Raw genomic sequence first — 16558 nt, 5'->3', positions numbered from 1 at the left:
ACACAACAGTAAATGGAATCACTGAGATTTACTCCAGGTAGTCCAGCTCCAGAGTTATCACTGAATGAGTTTTTTTATAATTAGATGAACCTTGGGTGGGTTCATCATCAAAATAATTATGGTAAAAATCATATTCAGCATATGTCAGCAACTGTGGTAAGCTTTTACAAGCATTATCCCAATTAAATCTCCCAACATAACTATGGGATAATTCCTAGTATTTACCTCATCTTATCCCTAGTTTTTTGGAATAAAGTAGCTTGCCCAATATTACACTGCTAATAAGCAGCAGAATGAATTTTTTTTTCAATTGTATACTCTAAAATACAAGCTTATAGTCACTAGAGTCAACTGCTTCTTAGAAACCTTAGAAAAATATGCTAATTAACATTTTCAGGAGTTTATACAAGGTGGGGAAACTGTAAAATATATTTAAATTGATTAATTGCTCTACATAATTTTCCTGTATTTCTAGTTTTCTCAATGATTCAAGATGGCCTTTGGAATTACAGTCATGTATAACCTTAAACGTCAGTTATTCAATGGAAAAAATAAGAAGGGGGACATTATAGAAGGTTTGAAGTATTTGTAGCATAAAGAGAACAAATTGGAAAGGTTGACTTTTGAAGAAAATTTTTAGTAGTGTATTTCATGGGTCTGGAGAAAATGTTGATCCTGAAGATCAAACTCTAAAGTCAATGGTAAAAACAAATTTTCTGGAAACATGGTATCTTTAAATATAGTGAGCTGAGAATATCTACATTTTTATCAATATCCATTTTTGCAGGAAGAAAAAGTTTTCTCTAGAAGATTGTGGTTTATATTTTTCTACTTTAAATATCAGCCATCATTTTTATTTATATAGAGGAAAAAATGCCAAAAGTTAAAATAATGAAAATTATGCATAGTTTTACACAAATAGTTAAGAATATACTGTCAATATCATCTTATCTAAGAATTATTTGCATATTACTGTAACTTGTGCTAGAAATCAAAGGAACACTTTTGTAACAAAAAGAGTGAAAATAATTTACTAGAAAATAACCTACTTTGAAATTATTTGGAGAGGAAAATTTCATTAATAGGCTGGTAGTCTTTTTGCATTTCTCAGTGCTCAGACCAAAAAAATGAAATATTTCAAGCAGGAATTCTTTTAATAATAAGAATTCTAGGTTTAAGGCTGGCTTTTGATGGTCAAAGATAGCCTTCACTAACTTTCAGGTAATCAAGAATTTGCAGAATTGCAGGAAAATACCAGTGATAAGCTCAGTTGTTTGCAAAATCAAATGCTTGTTTTTAATAAGAATTCTGTTAAGTCAATGCATAAACCTCACCTCTAAAACTTTCTGAAGTCCCCGTACCTACCTGCCATGACATCAACTTTTATTCACATTCCAAATCTTATGGAAGTGCTTCACTGACAAATATTTACATGTATACCCAGCACATGTTCCCAACATGGTGAATTTGCCTTTCTCACACGTTTCTTTCTGGAATTTTATATTTGATAGAAGCTTCAGGTCATTTGCTCTCAACAAATGATACAATTATTCAAATGTTGCCACAGCCATATTTTTCTTTAATATTACTGCCAGTGACATCTTGACATAACCATGAATTATTGTGCTGTGCTTCATGTACTCCAATATCAATAGGATATGCATGATTTATTTTAACAGAACAGCCATTACTTTAAATATCAGCTTGTTCCTGTGGTTTTCTTGTTTATTGTGACATTAAATAGGCTAATAGTTTGTTTCAGCAGAGAATTCTCTGTATATCCTTGGATCATTTTTAAGGACTGTTGAACCAAAGAAAAATTATAAGATAATTCATATCCAAAAGTCTTACTGTGAGTAATGTGAAATCACTGTGCTTATGCTGGTCGTATTATATAATATATCTTAGCATTAGCAGTACAGGGTGCAGCAAAAAGGGCAATGGAGTTTGAGTCACATCACTAAAGAAACTAATATTTAATGACAATTTGTTATCCAAAAAGTACACTAGATCATTTCACATGAATTACCTTACTTAACATTCACAAAATCCTGAGAGTTTGTAATAGTACCACTTTTATTTTTAAATAAATCTCTCTCTCTCTCTCCTCTTCCTATTTCTTTCTTCATCAGTCATTCTTTACTCCTCGTCCTCTCTCCTTTCCTCCTGCTTCCCTTTCTCTCCCTTTCTCTCTTACCTCTTACATCCATGTCTATTTTGCTTCTATCTTATTATAAGCAGCAATATGCTAATAACCTCTTAATTTAAAACGATGCCTGTTACATCCATTCTTTAAATAACATTTTAATATTGTAATCAGCTGTTATACACATTACATTTAAATAAATAGAGTCTTTTTTTTTTACATTCTTAGAGAATGTATATGTGTGGTCGTTCTTCTCAACTCTCCCAGAAAAAATAAAATCTTACAGTTAAAACCTAATAAACATAGTTAGATAGTGAGACAGGTATCATTCTTATCTATAAGAATGATGCTGATTCTTATATGCTTTAACAAGTCTGATGCTTTAAGAATTCCCATCACATTAAGTTGAAATACAGTATGTTAATTCTCATTAATTACAAAATATTCTAAACGTACAATTTATTATTTAAAAAACATATTCATTGACATTTTAAATGGATTTCTTGCAATGTAAATTTCTATCACTTTTTCATTAATTACCAAATAATTACTTTAGTACTTTTCATATTAGTTATTGATAGAAAGTTGTAAGTTAATTGTTTAATTCTCCTTGTGACTAGTTATTCATTTCAGTATAAAATATCGTTATCATTTCTAAGTTTTTACAGAGGAAATATTTCAAGAATGTTTTCATCCAAAAGGGAACATGAGAAGAGACAGGATCACATGTTCTAAGTGCATGATTTTTCAAACAGGGAACAAAAGCCTCTGATGAGTTTCTTGTCTAGTAAAACATAAAATGCTAAGATGGGGTTGGAGGTGTATGTGGGAGTAGGGACAAATAAGAATAGAGATTATCAATTAGAAACCATAAAATTTAAAATGAAAAAAAAAATACCAGCTAATACATTGCACCATTCTGTCAGATGAGAAAATGTACTGAAAAAATTGCCATAGACAAGTCCTGGTCCATGACAAAATATTCACCAAATAACAGTTGAAATGTAAAAAAATAAATAGAGGAAAAGCTGTAGAATTTTCATGAAACTAAATGTATCAAAATGAAATGATTATTCATTAGTATGAGTTTACATGCATTTTTGAAAGACAAATTTAGGGTGAGAGAACATAGTTATTGTCAAGATGTGACAAAATATTCACTAATAATCAGAATGAATACAGTTTAATACTTTATTGGTCAGCCTTAATTTTTGACATATTAAAAATATCTGCCTGAAATTTATATTGCATGATTCCAGGATGTTCGTCTCATATATTTAAATGTTTACTAATCTTACTTAGTTTTCCCAGTCGGGAAATATCTTTGCTAACCAGTGCAGTTTTCGCTATAAAGGTGTCACCAACTGGCGGGGCGGGGTGGCTCACGCCTGTAATCCCAGCACTTTGGGAGGCCGAGGCAGGCGGATCACGAGGTCAGGAGATCGAGACCATCCTGGCTAACACGGTGAAACCCCGTCTCTACTAAAAAACAAAAACTTAGCTGGGCGTGGTGGCGGGCGCCTGTAGTCCCAGCTACTCAGGAGGCTGAAGGCAGGAGAATGGGGTGAACCCGGGAGGTGGAGCTTGCAGTGAGCCGAGATCGTGCCACTGCACTCCAGCCTGGGCAACAGAGCTAGACTCTGTCAAAAAAAAAAAAAAAAAAGCTGTCACCAACTAGTCAGACAATGGCTCCCCATTGCCTTACTCACCTTTAATTCAATGACTTCATAATAATTCTTACCACCCACAACTACTTAAAGTTGTGATGTGGGTGAAATATGTTCTATTCATTCAAAATACTTGTTAAGAAACCTACATGGGCATTGTGCAAAAACCAAAACTGATTAAAATTTTATTCTGGCTTCATAGAAAAAAATCATTTCTCTTATGGGAAAGTCCTAGTGGATTGAAGTCTGAAGTTACTGTTTTTATCTTTGCTCCACTACCTGCCTACCACCTGCATGAATTTAAACAATTTACTTATCATTCCTGAGCTGTGATTTCTTCAACTGTGAGTCAAAGAAAATACCGCTGGACTGTGGTACAATTTTCAAAGAAACATAAAATGTCATTCACTATGCAATTTCATCGTGCATCAACGCGGAGGGAATATAACTGATAATGTAGTAACGAGCAATATATGCAAAAAACTAAATTTTACAAATATCAAAACCAGTACAAATAATTACATGGAAAAATAGCATACTTATCTATAAAATAGTATGCTTTTAAATTACCTAGAAAACATGTTAAGTCCAAGTGAAAACAATATATTTAAATACCATAAATTTATAGCTCACATTTTAAAGATACAAATCATATTAGCTTTACCTTAAAATAAGTTTTCGAACTATATTGTTGTTCCTAGAAAGATATGTCAAAAAAGTGTGCATGAGATATTTATCTTAAACTTTTGAGGTTAACATGGGGAAAACTTACTTTCTCTGAACAAGAGTCTCTACTTAAGCTATAGAAATTTTCTTAATAACTTAATAACAATAAATTTATATTCTTATGATGTTTCAAGAACACAATTCTTAGTGTGAATAAGAAATTGTTAAGATGGCATCGATATTCTCCTACCATTTCAACTCATTAGATTAATAAGTACTTACTGAGAGACTCCTCCATGACATACATTGACAGAAGCACTGGTTTTAGACTCTGAGTCCCAAACACTGACATCTTTTTTTTTCCATAAGTATTGGGGTACAGGTGGTATTTGGTTACACGAGTAAGTTCTTTAGTGGTGATTTGTGAGATTTTGGTGCACCCATCACTTAAGCAGTATATACTGTACTATATCTGTGTTCTTTTATCCCGTGCCCACCTCCCTCTCCCCCAAGTCCCCAAAGTTCATTGTGTCATTCTTAAGCCTTTTGGTCCCCACAGCTTAGTTCCCACATATTAGTGAGACTACATGATGTTGGTTTTCCATTCCTGACTTACTTTGCTTAGAATAATAGTCTCCAGTCTCATCCAGGTCACTGCAAATGCTGTTAATTCATTCCTTTTTATGGCTGAGTAGTATTCCATCATATATATGATATGTGTATATCGCAGTTTCTTTATCCACTCGTTGATTGATGGACATGTGGGTTGATTCCATGATTTTACAATTGTGAATTGTGCTGCTATAAACATGCATGTACAAGTATCTTTTCAAATAATGACTTGATATCCTCTGGATAGGTACCCAGTGGTGGTATTGGTGGATCAAATGGCAGTTCTACTTTCAGTTCTTTAAGGAATCTCCACACTGTTTTTCATAGTAGTTATAATAGATTACATTCCCACCAGTAGTGTAGACGTGTTCTCTGATCACTGCATCCACACAAGCATCTAAGGTTTTTTGATTTTTTGATTACGGCCATTCTTGCAGGAGTAAGGTGGTATTGCATTGTAGTTTTGATTTGCATTTCCCTGATCATTAGTGATGTTGAGTATTTTTTCACGTTTGTTGCCATTTGTATATCTTCTTTTGAGAATTGTCTATTCATGCCCTTAGCCCACTTTTTGATGGGATTTTTTCTTTTTTTTCTTACTGATTTGAGTTGGTTACAGATTCTGGATATTAGTCCTTTGTCAGATGTAAAGATTGTGAAGATTTTCTCACACTCTGTGGGTTGTCTGCTTACTCTGGTGAATGTTCCTTTTGCTGTGCAAAAGCTCTGTAGTTTATTTAGGTCCCAGCTATTTATATTTGTTTTTATTGCATTTGCTTTTGGGTTCTTGGTCATGAAATCCTTGCCTAAGCCAATGTCTGCAAGAGTTTTTCGAATGTTATCTTCTAGAATTTTTATAGTTTCAGATCTTAGATTTACGTCCTTAATCCATCTTGAGTTGATTTTTTATAAGGTGAAAGATGAGGATCCAGTTTCATTCTTCTACATATGGCTAGCCAATTATCTCAGCACCATTTGCTGAAAATGGTGTCCTTTCCCCACTTTATGTTTTTGTTTGCTTTGTCAAAGATCAGTTGGCTGTAAGTATTTGGGTTTATTTCTGGGTTCTCTATTCTGTTCCATTGGTCTATGTGCCCATTTTTATGTTAGCACCACACTCTTTTGGTGACTACGGCCTTATAGTGCAGTTTGAAATCAGGTAATGTGATGCCTCCAGATTTGTTCCTTTTGCTTAGTCTTGCTTTGGTTATGCAGGCTCTTTTTTGGTTCCATATGAATTTTAGAATTGTTTTTTTCTAATTCTGTGAAGAGTGATGTTGGTATTTTGATGGGGATTGCATTAAATTTGTAGATTGCTTTTGGCAGTATGGTCATTTTCAAAACATTGATTCTCCTCATCTATGTGCATGGTATGTTTCCATTTGTCCATGTCATCTATGATTTCTTTCAGCAGTGTTTTATAGTTTTCCTTGTAGAGGTCTTTTGACTCCTAGCTTAGGTTTATTCCTAAGTATTTTAATTTTTTTTTGCAGCTATCATAAAAGGGTTTGAGTTCTTGATTTGATTCTCCACTTGGTCACTGTTGGTGTATAGAAGAGCTACTGATTTGTGTACATTAATCTTGGATCTTGTATATGGAAACTTTGCTGAATTCTTTTATCAGTTCCAGGAGCTTTCTGGAGGAGTCCTTAGGGTTTTCAAGGTAAACGATCATATCATCAGCAAACAGTTACAGTTTGGCTTCCTCTTTACTAATTTGAATGTCCTTTGTTTCTTTCTCTTGTCTGATTGCTTTGGCTAGGACTTCCAGTACTATGTTGAAGAGGAGTGGTGAGATTGGGCATCCTTGTCTTGTTCCAGTTCTCAGAGGGAATGCTTTCAACTTTTCCCCATTCAGTATTATGTTGGCTATGGGTTTGTCATAGATGGCTTTTATTACATTAAGATATAAAGGAGAACCTATCAAATTAACAGCAGATTTCTCAGCAGAAACCCTACAAGCTAGAAGGAATTGGTGCCTATCTTCAGCCTCCTCAAACAAAACAATTATCAGCCAAGAATTTTGTTTCCAGCGAAACTAAGCATCATATATGAAGAAAAGATACAGTCTTTTTCAGACAAACAAATGCTGAGAGAATTTGACATTATCAAGCCACCACTACAAGAACTGCTAAAAAGGAGCTGTAAATCTTGAAACAAATCCTGGAAACACATCAAACAGAACCTCTTTAAAGCATAAATCATACAGGACCTATAAAACAAAAATGCAAGTTAAAAACCAAAAACAAATAAAAAACAAAGTACACAGGCAACAAAGTGCACGATGTATGCAAGGGTACCTCACATTTCAATACTAACATTGAATGTAAATGGCCTAAATGCTCCACTTAAAAGATACATAACTGCAGAATGAGTAAGAACTCACCAACCAACTATCTGCTGCCTTCAGGAGACTCACCTAACACATAAGGACTCACATAAACTAAAGGGGTGGAAAAAGACATTTCATACAAATGGATACCAAAAGCAAGCAGAGGTAGGTGTTCTTAGAGAAAACCAACTTTAAAGCAACAGCAGTTAAAAGAGACAAAGAGGAACATTATATGATGGTAAAAGGCCTTGTCCAACAGGAAAATATGACAATCCTAAACATACATGCACGTAACACTGGAGGTCCCAAATTTATAAAACAGATACCAATAGACTTAAGAAATGATATAGACAGCAACAAAATAATAGTGGGGGACTTCAACACTCCACCGACAGTACTAGACAGGTCAAGACAGAAACTCAACAAAGAAACAATGGATTTAAACTTTACCTTGGAACAAACTGACTTAACAGATAGATATACAGCACATTTTATCCAACAACCATAGAATACACATTCTATTAAACAATGCATGAAACTTTCTACAAGATAGACCAGTAGATAGACTACATGATAGGCCAAAAACGAGCCTCAATAAATAAAGAAAAAATTAAAATTATATCAAGCACTGTCTTAGACCACAGTGGAATGAAACTGGAAATCAACTCCAAAAGGAACCCTCAATACCATGCAAATACATGGAATTTAAATAATCTGCTCCTGAATGAGCATTGGGTCAAAAGCGCAATCAAGATGGAAATTTACAAATTCTTCGAACTGAATGACAATAATGGTACGATGTATCAAAACCTCTGTGATACAGCAAAGGCATTGCTAAGAGGAAAGTTCATAGCCATAAGTGCCTACATCAAAAAGACTGAAATAGCACAAACTGACATTCTAAGGTCACACCTCAAGGAACTAGAGAAACAAGAACAAACCAAACCAAAGCCGGTAGAAGAAAGGAAATAACCAAGATCAGAGCAGAACCAAATGAAATTGAAACAAAAAAAATTACAAAAGATAAATGAAACAAAAAGCTGGTCCTTCAAAAAGATAAAATGGATAGACCATTCACAAGATTAACCAAGAAAAGAGAAGAAATCCAAATAACCTCACTAAGAAATGAAACAGGAGATATTACAACTGACACAACCAAAATGCAAAAGATCGTTCAAGGCTACTGTGAACACCTCTACGCACATAAACTAGAAAAACTAGAAGAGACGGATAAATTCCTGGAAAAATACAACCGTCCTAGCTCAAATCAGGAAGAATTAGACACCCTGAATAGACCAATAACAAGTAGGAAGATTGAAATGGTAATTTTAAAATTAGCAACGAAAAAAAGTCCAAGACCAGACAGATTCACAGCAGAATTCTACCAGACATTCAAAGAATTGGTACTAATCCTTTTGACACTATTCCACAAGACAGAGAAAGAAGGAACCCTCCCTAATTCATTCTATGAAGCCAGCATCATCCTAATACCAAAACCAGGAAAGGACATAACCAAAAAAGGAAACTACAGACTGATATCCTTGATGAACATGGGTGCGAAAATCATTAACAAAATACTAGCTAACCGAATCCAAAAACATACCAAAAAGATAACCCACCATGATCAAGTGGGTTTGACACCAGAGATTCAGGGATGGTTTAACATACGTAAGTCAATAAATGTGATACACCACATAAATAGAATTAAAAACAAAATTCACGTGATCATCTCAACAGATGCAGAAAAAACATTGACATCTTGAAGCATAGTATCCAAAGGAGAAAAAGATGTTTAATAACTATGCACATAAATATGAAATTACAAAATGAAGTCTTATAAAGAAAAAACTAATTAGACTCATAACTGAGTTTATTTTTAAATCAATTATACAACGTATTACAAGAAGGAGTAAAACAAGTTACCTCAAATCCTCATAATGATACAGCTATTATATGAAAATAACTTTTAAAAAATACATTTTGTTCTCTCATTGATTAAAATTAAAAAAACAAAACAAATCTCCCATTACACAACATGCCACTACATGCTGATTATTTAAACATATATACAGAAACCCAGCTTTTGCTAAAAGTGAACAATTCTTCACAATGTTCTTCTCTATTACTTTGAGTAACTTAATGATAAAAGTGTTCTAAATATTGCTTCAAATATTATTTAATACAACTGAGTGAATACCAATTTGAAATTGTATACAAAATGATTTGGATGTTAATGTACACATTAATAGTTCAAATATTTATTGTTTCTATTTTATTAATGTCTCAAAGACAATCAGATGCCAAACAGGGTGTTTAATTGATAATAGGAGGCAATAATACAGTTGTAGTCTTAGACCTGGCTCTTCTGTGAACTTGATCTAGTTGCCTAATTCTTCTCGGTCTCTTGTATCTTCTAATGTAAGGATGTAATTTCATATTATACTATATATATAATATCTCATACTATGTTATCGCTCTTCATAGAGAGATTTTTAGTCATAATTACATAAATATTGCCTTAATAGGTTCTGAATGTACTCATTTTATATAATATCAACAGCAGTCTTGGTAACTTAGTCACTAGGTTTCACAGGACTTCCATATTCAATTATAGAATAAATTAGTATTTATCTAGATATTTTAAAAATGTATATTCCAAAACCCAGGAAAGAATTGTATATCAGTTGTCCATTCCTGCTACAACAAATTGCCACAAACTTAGTAGCTTAAACAACACAAATGTATTATCTTGCAGTCTGGAGGGCTGAAGTCCAAAATGAGTTTAACTGGGCTGAAATCAAGGTGTTGGCTGGATAGCATTCCTTCTGGAAATTATAGGAGAAAATCTGTTTTATTATTTTTTTTAAATATGACTTTAATCCTTCTTAAAAACTCTTAGATAAAATGATTATGTCTCTAACAATTAATTCCATTTTGTTTTAGGTTAACAGGATTCCATCTGCCACCTCCAGTGACAAGTACCAAATCTGTGTTCTCACTACGTTTGACCAGTGATTTTGCAGTTAGTGCTCATGGATTTAAGGTATATTACGAAGGTAAGTGATGGTAGTGGCAAACAAACCACTGCCCTTAATGTAATCTAACAAAATTTTTCAAGTAGGAAAGAAGAATCAACATTTGAGACAACATCATGTTGTCTCAAATCTTGTCCTGAAATTTATCTTGTTATTAATCATTAATGTATAGTAAAATGCTATACTTAGTGGGTTTTAATATTTTATATCACTATGTGAGACCATTAAATTGCTACAGGGTTACGAATTAACAAAACGGAATTAAATGTGAGAGTAATAGGACTCTAGACCTGATTTGTGTGTCAGGCATCACAGACCCTACCCTACAGTCCCTTGTGCTGTGCCAGTCTACCAGAAAGTAAACTAGTAATCTGTCTTCTCTGAAAGTTAGAGTCAAGAGAAGAAGTTCAGAAAGAGACAAGAGTTGACATCTACTCCTGAAACAGCCTTTCCAGGAATAAGATCAATAATCCCTTAAACCAGGAAGAGGACAACTAAATATTTCTCAAAACTGAAGGTTGTGTTTTTTCTTTTTCCTAGAAGTTTGGTACAAACTCAGTTGGCATCAAAACCTGATGCCAAATGAATAGAGGACATTTATGATCTTTATTTATCACGCTTAGTGTGGATACTCATACATATCACTAGGAAAATATCGTTTGATAATGGGATGGTGCCCAGGCTCTACTCAGAGTGTTTAAAGGCACAGAATCTACATGTTTTGCTTTTTAAAAAATGTGCTAGCAAAAATAATTCTGATGGCAAAAATAATTTGTTCTTGAAGGTTTCAGATAGAAATCATGGACTTATCATTTCTTATCTATGTGATTTGACAATAAAATTTCCATCTAATTTAGGAAAGAGTCCTTTTCTTCCCCATAGGGATAGTGTATCAGATTTCAATTCATCTCCCCAGGACCATATTACAGAATTTATCACATCAGGTCTAACATTATCATAAAGAGATACATAAATACCGTAGCAAGGGCAATTAATTTCTAAACCATATAATAATTCAAAATATAATGTGTTTAAAGAAAACAATCACATAGTAAATAGAATTGTTTCAGTATAAATGTTAACATCTTGCATGTAAGGGAATGTCTTAAACTAAACACTAATTCTAGTACAGTATTTTTCACTAGAAAAAAAATCCTCTGGCTAATAATTTAGTAAAATGCTTTCTCTGTTTTATATCCTAAATAATGTCAGATAGCAGCAGTTTTGAACATTATTTTCTACCTAATACTTTTCTGAACTGTCTTTTGTGTAGCAAGGGAGGATAAATTCCAAGACTTAATTTCCTCCACGGTGATAGTAATAATCGTTGTTTTTCTAAGGAGCTCTCACAATAGTTGAATATTCTTTATCCTGGCAACTTAATTCATAGTTTAAAACACTATAACCACAAAGTTTAATTTTAAGGTATAATTTTGGCAATACTGAAGAAGAAGTTAGTAATGCAATTATTTTGTGCTAAGCGCTCTTAATAAAAAACCTGTATTCTGTTCATCAAAATATAAAGATATTTTTAGATTAGTTTAAGCTTTCAGGAAGTACTAAATATATTGAAAATGTACTTGTGAATTATGAGGTTGGCATGTTTTTTGGTTTGGCTGTCAGGTTTCATGAACTCATACTAAAAAATATTTTCATAGCTCCCAATTGTTTCTACATATACCACACTAAATTTCTGTCCATCTTTTTCACTTAAGGTAAAATAGATTCATATATTTTTGACATTTAAATGTATGTTTGGCATGTGCTGACTTAAAATATAGGATACTTGACATTCAGATAGTACTGAAGGATGGGTTATCATACTGCAAAATCTTCAGGTATTGATTCACAGTATCTTGTTCAATGCATATTAGTTTTCAATTTAACATCTTAAAATAATCTTAAAAAACTATCTCAGTTTTATAAGTTAAAAGTCCTGGTGTTCTTTGCTGATTTCTCTGTTTGGAGTCCCACAAGGCTAAAATAAAAATTTCAGTGGGCTGGGTTTGTATCCAAAGGTTTTGGGGAAAATCTACTTTCTGGCGTATTCTGATTGTTAGCAAGATCCAGTTCTTCAAGTTTGTAGGACCATGATACCTGTTTCCTTCTGGCTGTCAGCTGGGGCTGCCCATAGCTCCTAAGGCTTTCTCTCCTCTTCACGTAGAGGCCTCATACCTTAGAGCCAGCAACTGGTAAAAAGAATCCTCCTCACCTTGGAATCTTTGATTTCCCCTCTGATGTATCTGTCTGCTACTTTCTCCCTCCACACATCTTATACTCCAGGTGAAGAAATTTCTCAGCTTTTAAAGTCCGTGTGATTGGCTTGGGCCCATCTGGCTAATGAATGCTAATCTCCGCATCATAAAGTCCTTAACCTTAATCATATCTTCAAAGGCTTTTTGGCCATGTAACATGACATATGTGCAAGTTCCAGAGATACATTTTTGGGGAGGTAGAGGGGCATTATTTGGCCTACAATTTCATGCTTAAGTCTATGTAACATGATCCAGAGGGAGTAGCTGGTAGCATTTCTATATTTAACTGTAGCCAGTGATACTGCCAGGGCCAACTGGCATATTGTGAAGCTCGGAAATCTTATCTTGGAATTACAAAATCTGTCTCCCACTCCCCTGCATTTGGATCCAGTTTTTTTTCTGCAGTTACCTCAAATTACAACTCTTGCCCTGTGTATGATACAGTAAAATAGATCTACTAACCTGGACATCTTCTCAAGTATTATGCCTGTATTTTTAAATTTAATTTAATTTTTATATTTTTGAGATAGGAGTCTCACTGTGTTGCCCTGGCTTGTCCTAAACCCCAGGCTTCTAGCGATTTTCCTGCCTCTATCTCTCAAAGCACTGGGATTACAAGCAAGAGCCACTGCTCCTGGTCTCTTACCTGTATTTTTAAAAATATTTTTCAAGCTAATCCTAATGTGTAAATCTCATTTCTTTTTATTTCATCCTCCTCTATATAATCATTTACTATTTTTAAAAAACTTTCCTAAGACTTTGTCCTTGTGTATTAGTATTTATGAGACCGTATTTATTACTAATGTTATTCATTTATCTGTGTTTCTCAAATTGTCAACACTGAACCACATGCATCAGCTTTATCTGGAGACTGTATTAAAATCTAGAATTCTTGGCCCCACTTACATATTCTGAGTCAGACTCTGCCGTGGAGCCCTGGAATATGCATTGTAATAAGAGACTCACTGATTCTTATGCCTACTGAGATTGTAAATTCTATCTTTCTCTCCCTGGAAAGAGGACTAAACCAGACCAAACTAATCTGGTGTATAATAAAAGCTAAGAAAGATATTTGTTCAACTGGTATACTGCAAAGAGAATTATTCTGGAGAAGATACTTAATGTATCTAAATCTCATTGTCTTCATCTGTAAAATTGAGATAATAATTCTCCCTACTTCATAGTGTTGTGAGGAAAAAAATAATATAGAGTGCCTAGAATAGGATCTAACATAATAAACAGTCTATACATATGAATTACAATATTGATAGTATCATGATGGTGATTAAAAGAGTACTTTATATATAAGCATTTCAATTCTATGGGGACATACAGTATATTTGTACAAATTTCTATAATGGAGTTAATATGCTTTTTTAAAAAGGCTATTTTTATGGTCTGTTCTTTTAGCAAGAGCTGTTGAAGTAATCACACATTCTCTCTCTCTCTCTTTATTTCTCTGCCTCCCTCCCTCCCTCCCTCCCTGCTTCCTTCCTTTTTTTCTTTCTCTCTCTCTTTCTCTCTGTGTGTGTGTGTGTGTAGCTGAATGTGATTAATGACTTAATGTTACAAATATATTTCTTTAAAAATCATTATTAGGTGAGTAAAGGTCATCAAGCTAATGAACAAACACATTATTCTCAGTTAAGGTAATGTGCTGTAACTACTATGAGATCTTTCAAGACAATTTAGCGTATTGAAATTGATTTAACTTGCAGAGGAGAAGGTAAAGTAGGAGAAGTTCTACTTATTCACTCTCTACATTTTTCAAACTGTCTATGATGAAAGACCAATAGGTATCTGTAATTGCACACCAATACTTTTGTAAAATAAAAGCTAATGGAGGAAATGTTGCACTGATGTCAATTTGCTTGAAAGTACTTAAATGCTTACTCTTGATTTCTATACTTCATCGTGGACAAGTAAGAAATTGTTTACCAAAGCACACTGGTCCACGAACCAGTTCTCACCTTTTCCTTTAGTGTTGCTAAATTATCCAGAATGAGTTATACAGTCTCTACTTTCATACTAGAGTGCAGATCAATTTAAAATATTGTTTAAAATTAATTTTCTAGATCCCTTGATACATTAAATTTATATTCTTTAGGCAAATATTTCATCTTAAATTCCATATAGTATCCATTAATAGCAAAAAAATCAATATATTAATAATTTAACAATTCTGTGTGCTTGGAATCATTCTATACATTTAAAATTTTTATATTGAAATTATGATTTTCAAAATGTAAAAACTTTATGCTTTATTTAGAAATGTAAAGTATACTTTTATTTTGTCAAATTACAAAAATATTTAATAAAGACCGCTATCAAATTCTTTACATTTTCTATGATTTCTTTTGCTTCTTAAGTTTCAAAAACCTGTTACTTTCACTTATTCTTATATTTTATTTAGCTCTAGGCAATTGCTACCAATTTATAAGACAGGAAAATAATTCAGTTAAAATATAAAACATCATTATGAATGTTTCTAAGTAGAAATATTTCTCTGTATTAGCTATACCTGATAGTTTATCCTAAATACAAAAGATTAATCAACATATAATACAATGTAATAGTTTAGTGAAATTCTGTCAGATATCAGAAAACACTACAAATGAGATCCATTAAATCAGGGTAGGCTATATTTCTTAAATACTCATTGACAGTAGAATAGTCCCATTGTCCTTTATCTGTGAGGGATACACTCCAAGGCTTCCAGTGGATGCCTGAAATTGTGGATAGTACCAAACCATATATACAGTAGTATGTTTTCTCAGTCTGATAACTGAGACCACAAATAAGTATCTAATAGGCAGGTAGCATATACAGCTTGGCAAAGGGATGGGTGGGGCAGAACAGAATAGAGTGCTCATAGATTTTATCATGCTGCTTAGTGTGGCCTGTAGTTTAAACCTATGAATTGTTTATTTCTGGAATTTTTAAATTAATATTTTCCGATCTTGGTTATCAATGGTAACTGAAACCGCAAAAAACAAAGTCACCGATAACAAGGGGACCCTATAGTACATAATCCTGCTAATTTTATTAGAGCTGAGGTTTTTTTTTAATGTATTCAAAATGTTTAGCGTTAGACAAAGGAAACTAACTTAAAATGTGAAGTTAGAAGTCACTTAAGTTCACATATCCCATGAGTGGGATCTCAATAATCAAGAAAATGTTTTATTTAAACAAAATTTGTTTTATTTTAATTTTTATAATAATTATACATATTTATAGGGTATATGTGGTATTTTCATACAATCATACAAGGTGTAATGATCAAATAAGAGTAATTGGGATATCTATCACCTCAAACATTTATCTTCTCTTTGTGTTGGAAACATTGCAAATTCACTTCACTAGTTATTTTAGAATTTATATACAATAAATTATTGTTAACTATATTATCCCTATTATGCTATTGAACATTAAATCTTATTCCTTCTGTCTAACTACATTTTTACCCATGAACCAACCCCTGTTTATTCCTCCTTCCCCACTACCCTTCCCAGCCTCTGGTAACAATCATTCTACTCTCTACTTCAATATGTTTTACAATATATAAGTAGAATGAAAATAGTTCCAGATTTGTGGAAATATGTTCCGTATTAGATATTATTTCAATAAAATATTTTAGATGTAATTGAATAGGTTCTGTATTAGTCCATTTTAATGCTGCTGATAAAGACATACCCAATACTGGGGAAAAAAGGAGGTTTAATTGGACTTACAGTTGTTCCACATGGCTGGGGAGGCCTCAGAATCATGGCAGAAGGCAAAACACATTTCTTACATGGTGCTGGCAAGAGAAAAATGAAATTGCAAAAGCAGAAACCCCAAACACA

The 16558-nt window shown here is 33.2% G+C and overlaps 1 protein-coding gene across 9 annotated transcripts in view; it reads left to right on the top strand.

The window, feature by feature from the left end:
• CSMD3 (CUB and Sushi multiple domains 3) overlaps positions 1-16558 on the top strand; it is a 1214012-nt gene that overhangs the window by 147869 nt on the left and 1049585 nt on the right. For all 9 annotated transcript variants that reach the window (NM_001363185.1, XM_017013010.2, NM_052900.3 and 6 more), the window contains one exon: positions 10367-10479. In NM_001363185.1, coding sequence (NP_001350114.1) covers positions 10367-10479 — 113 coding nt within the window. The remainder of the gene's footprint in view (positions 1-10366; positions 10480-16558) is intronic.

The sequence above is a fragment of the Homo sapiens genome, chromosome 8 (genome assembly GCF_000001405.40).
Source record: "Homo sapiens chromosome 8, GRCh38.p14 Primary Assembly".
In the NCBI taxonomy this organism is placed as follows: Eukaryota; Metazoa; Chordata; class Mammalia; order Primates; family Hominidae; genus Homo; species Homo sapiens.
This window is presented reverse-complemented; position numbering and strand designations above follow the sequence as displayed.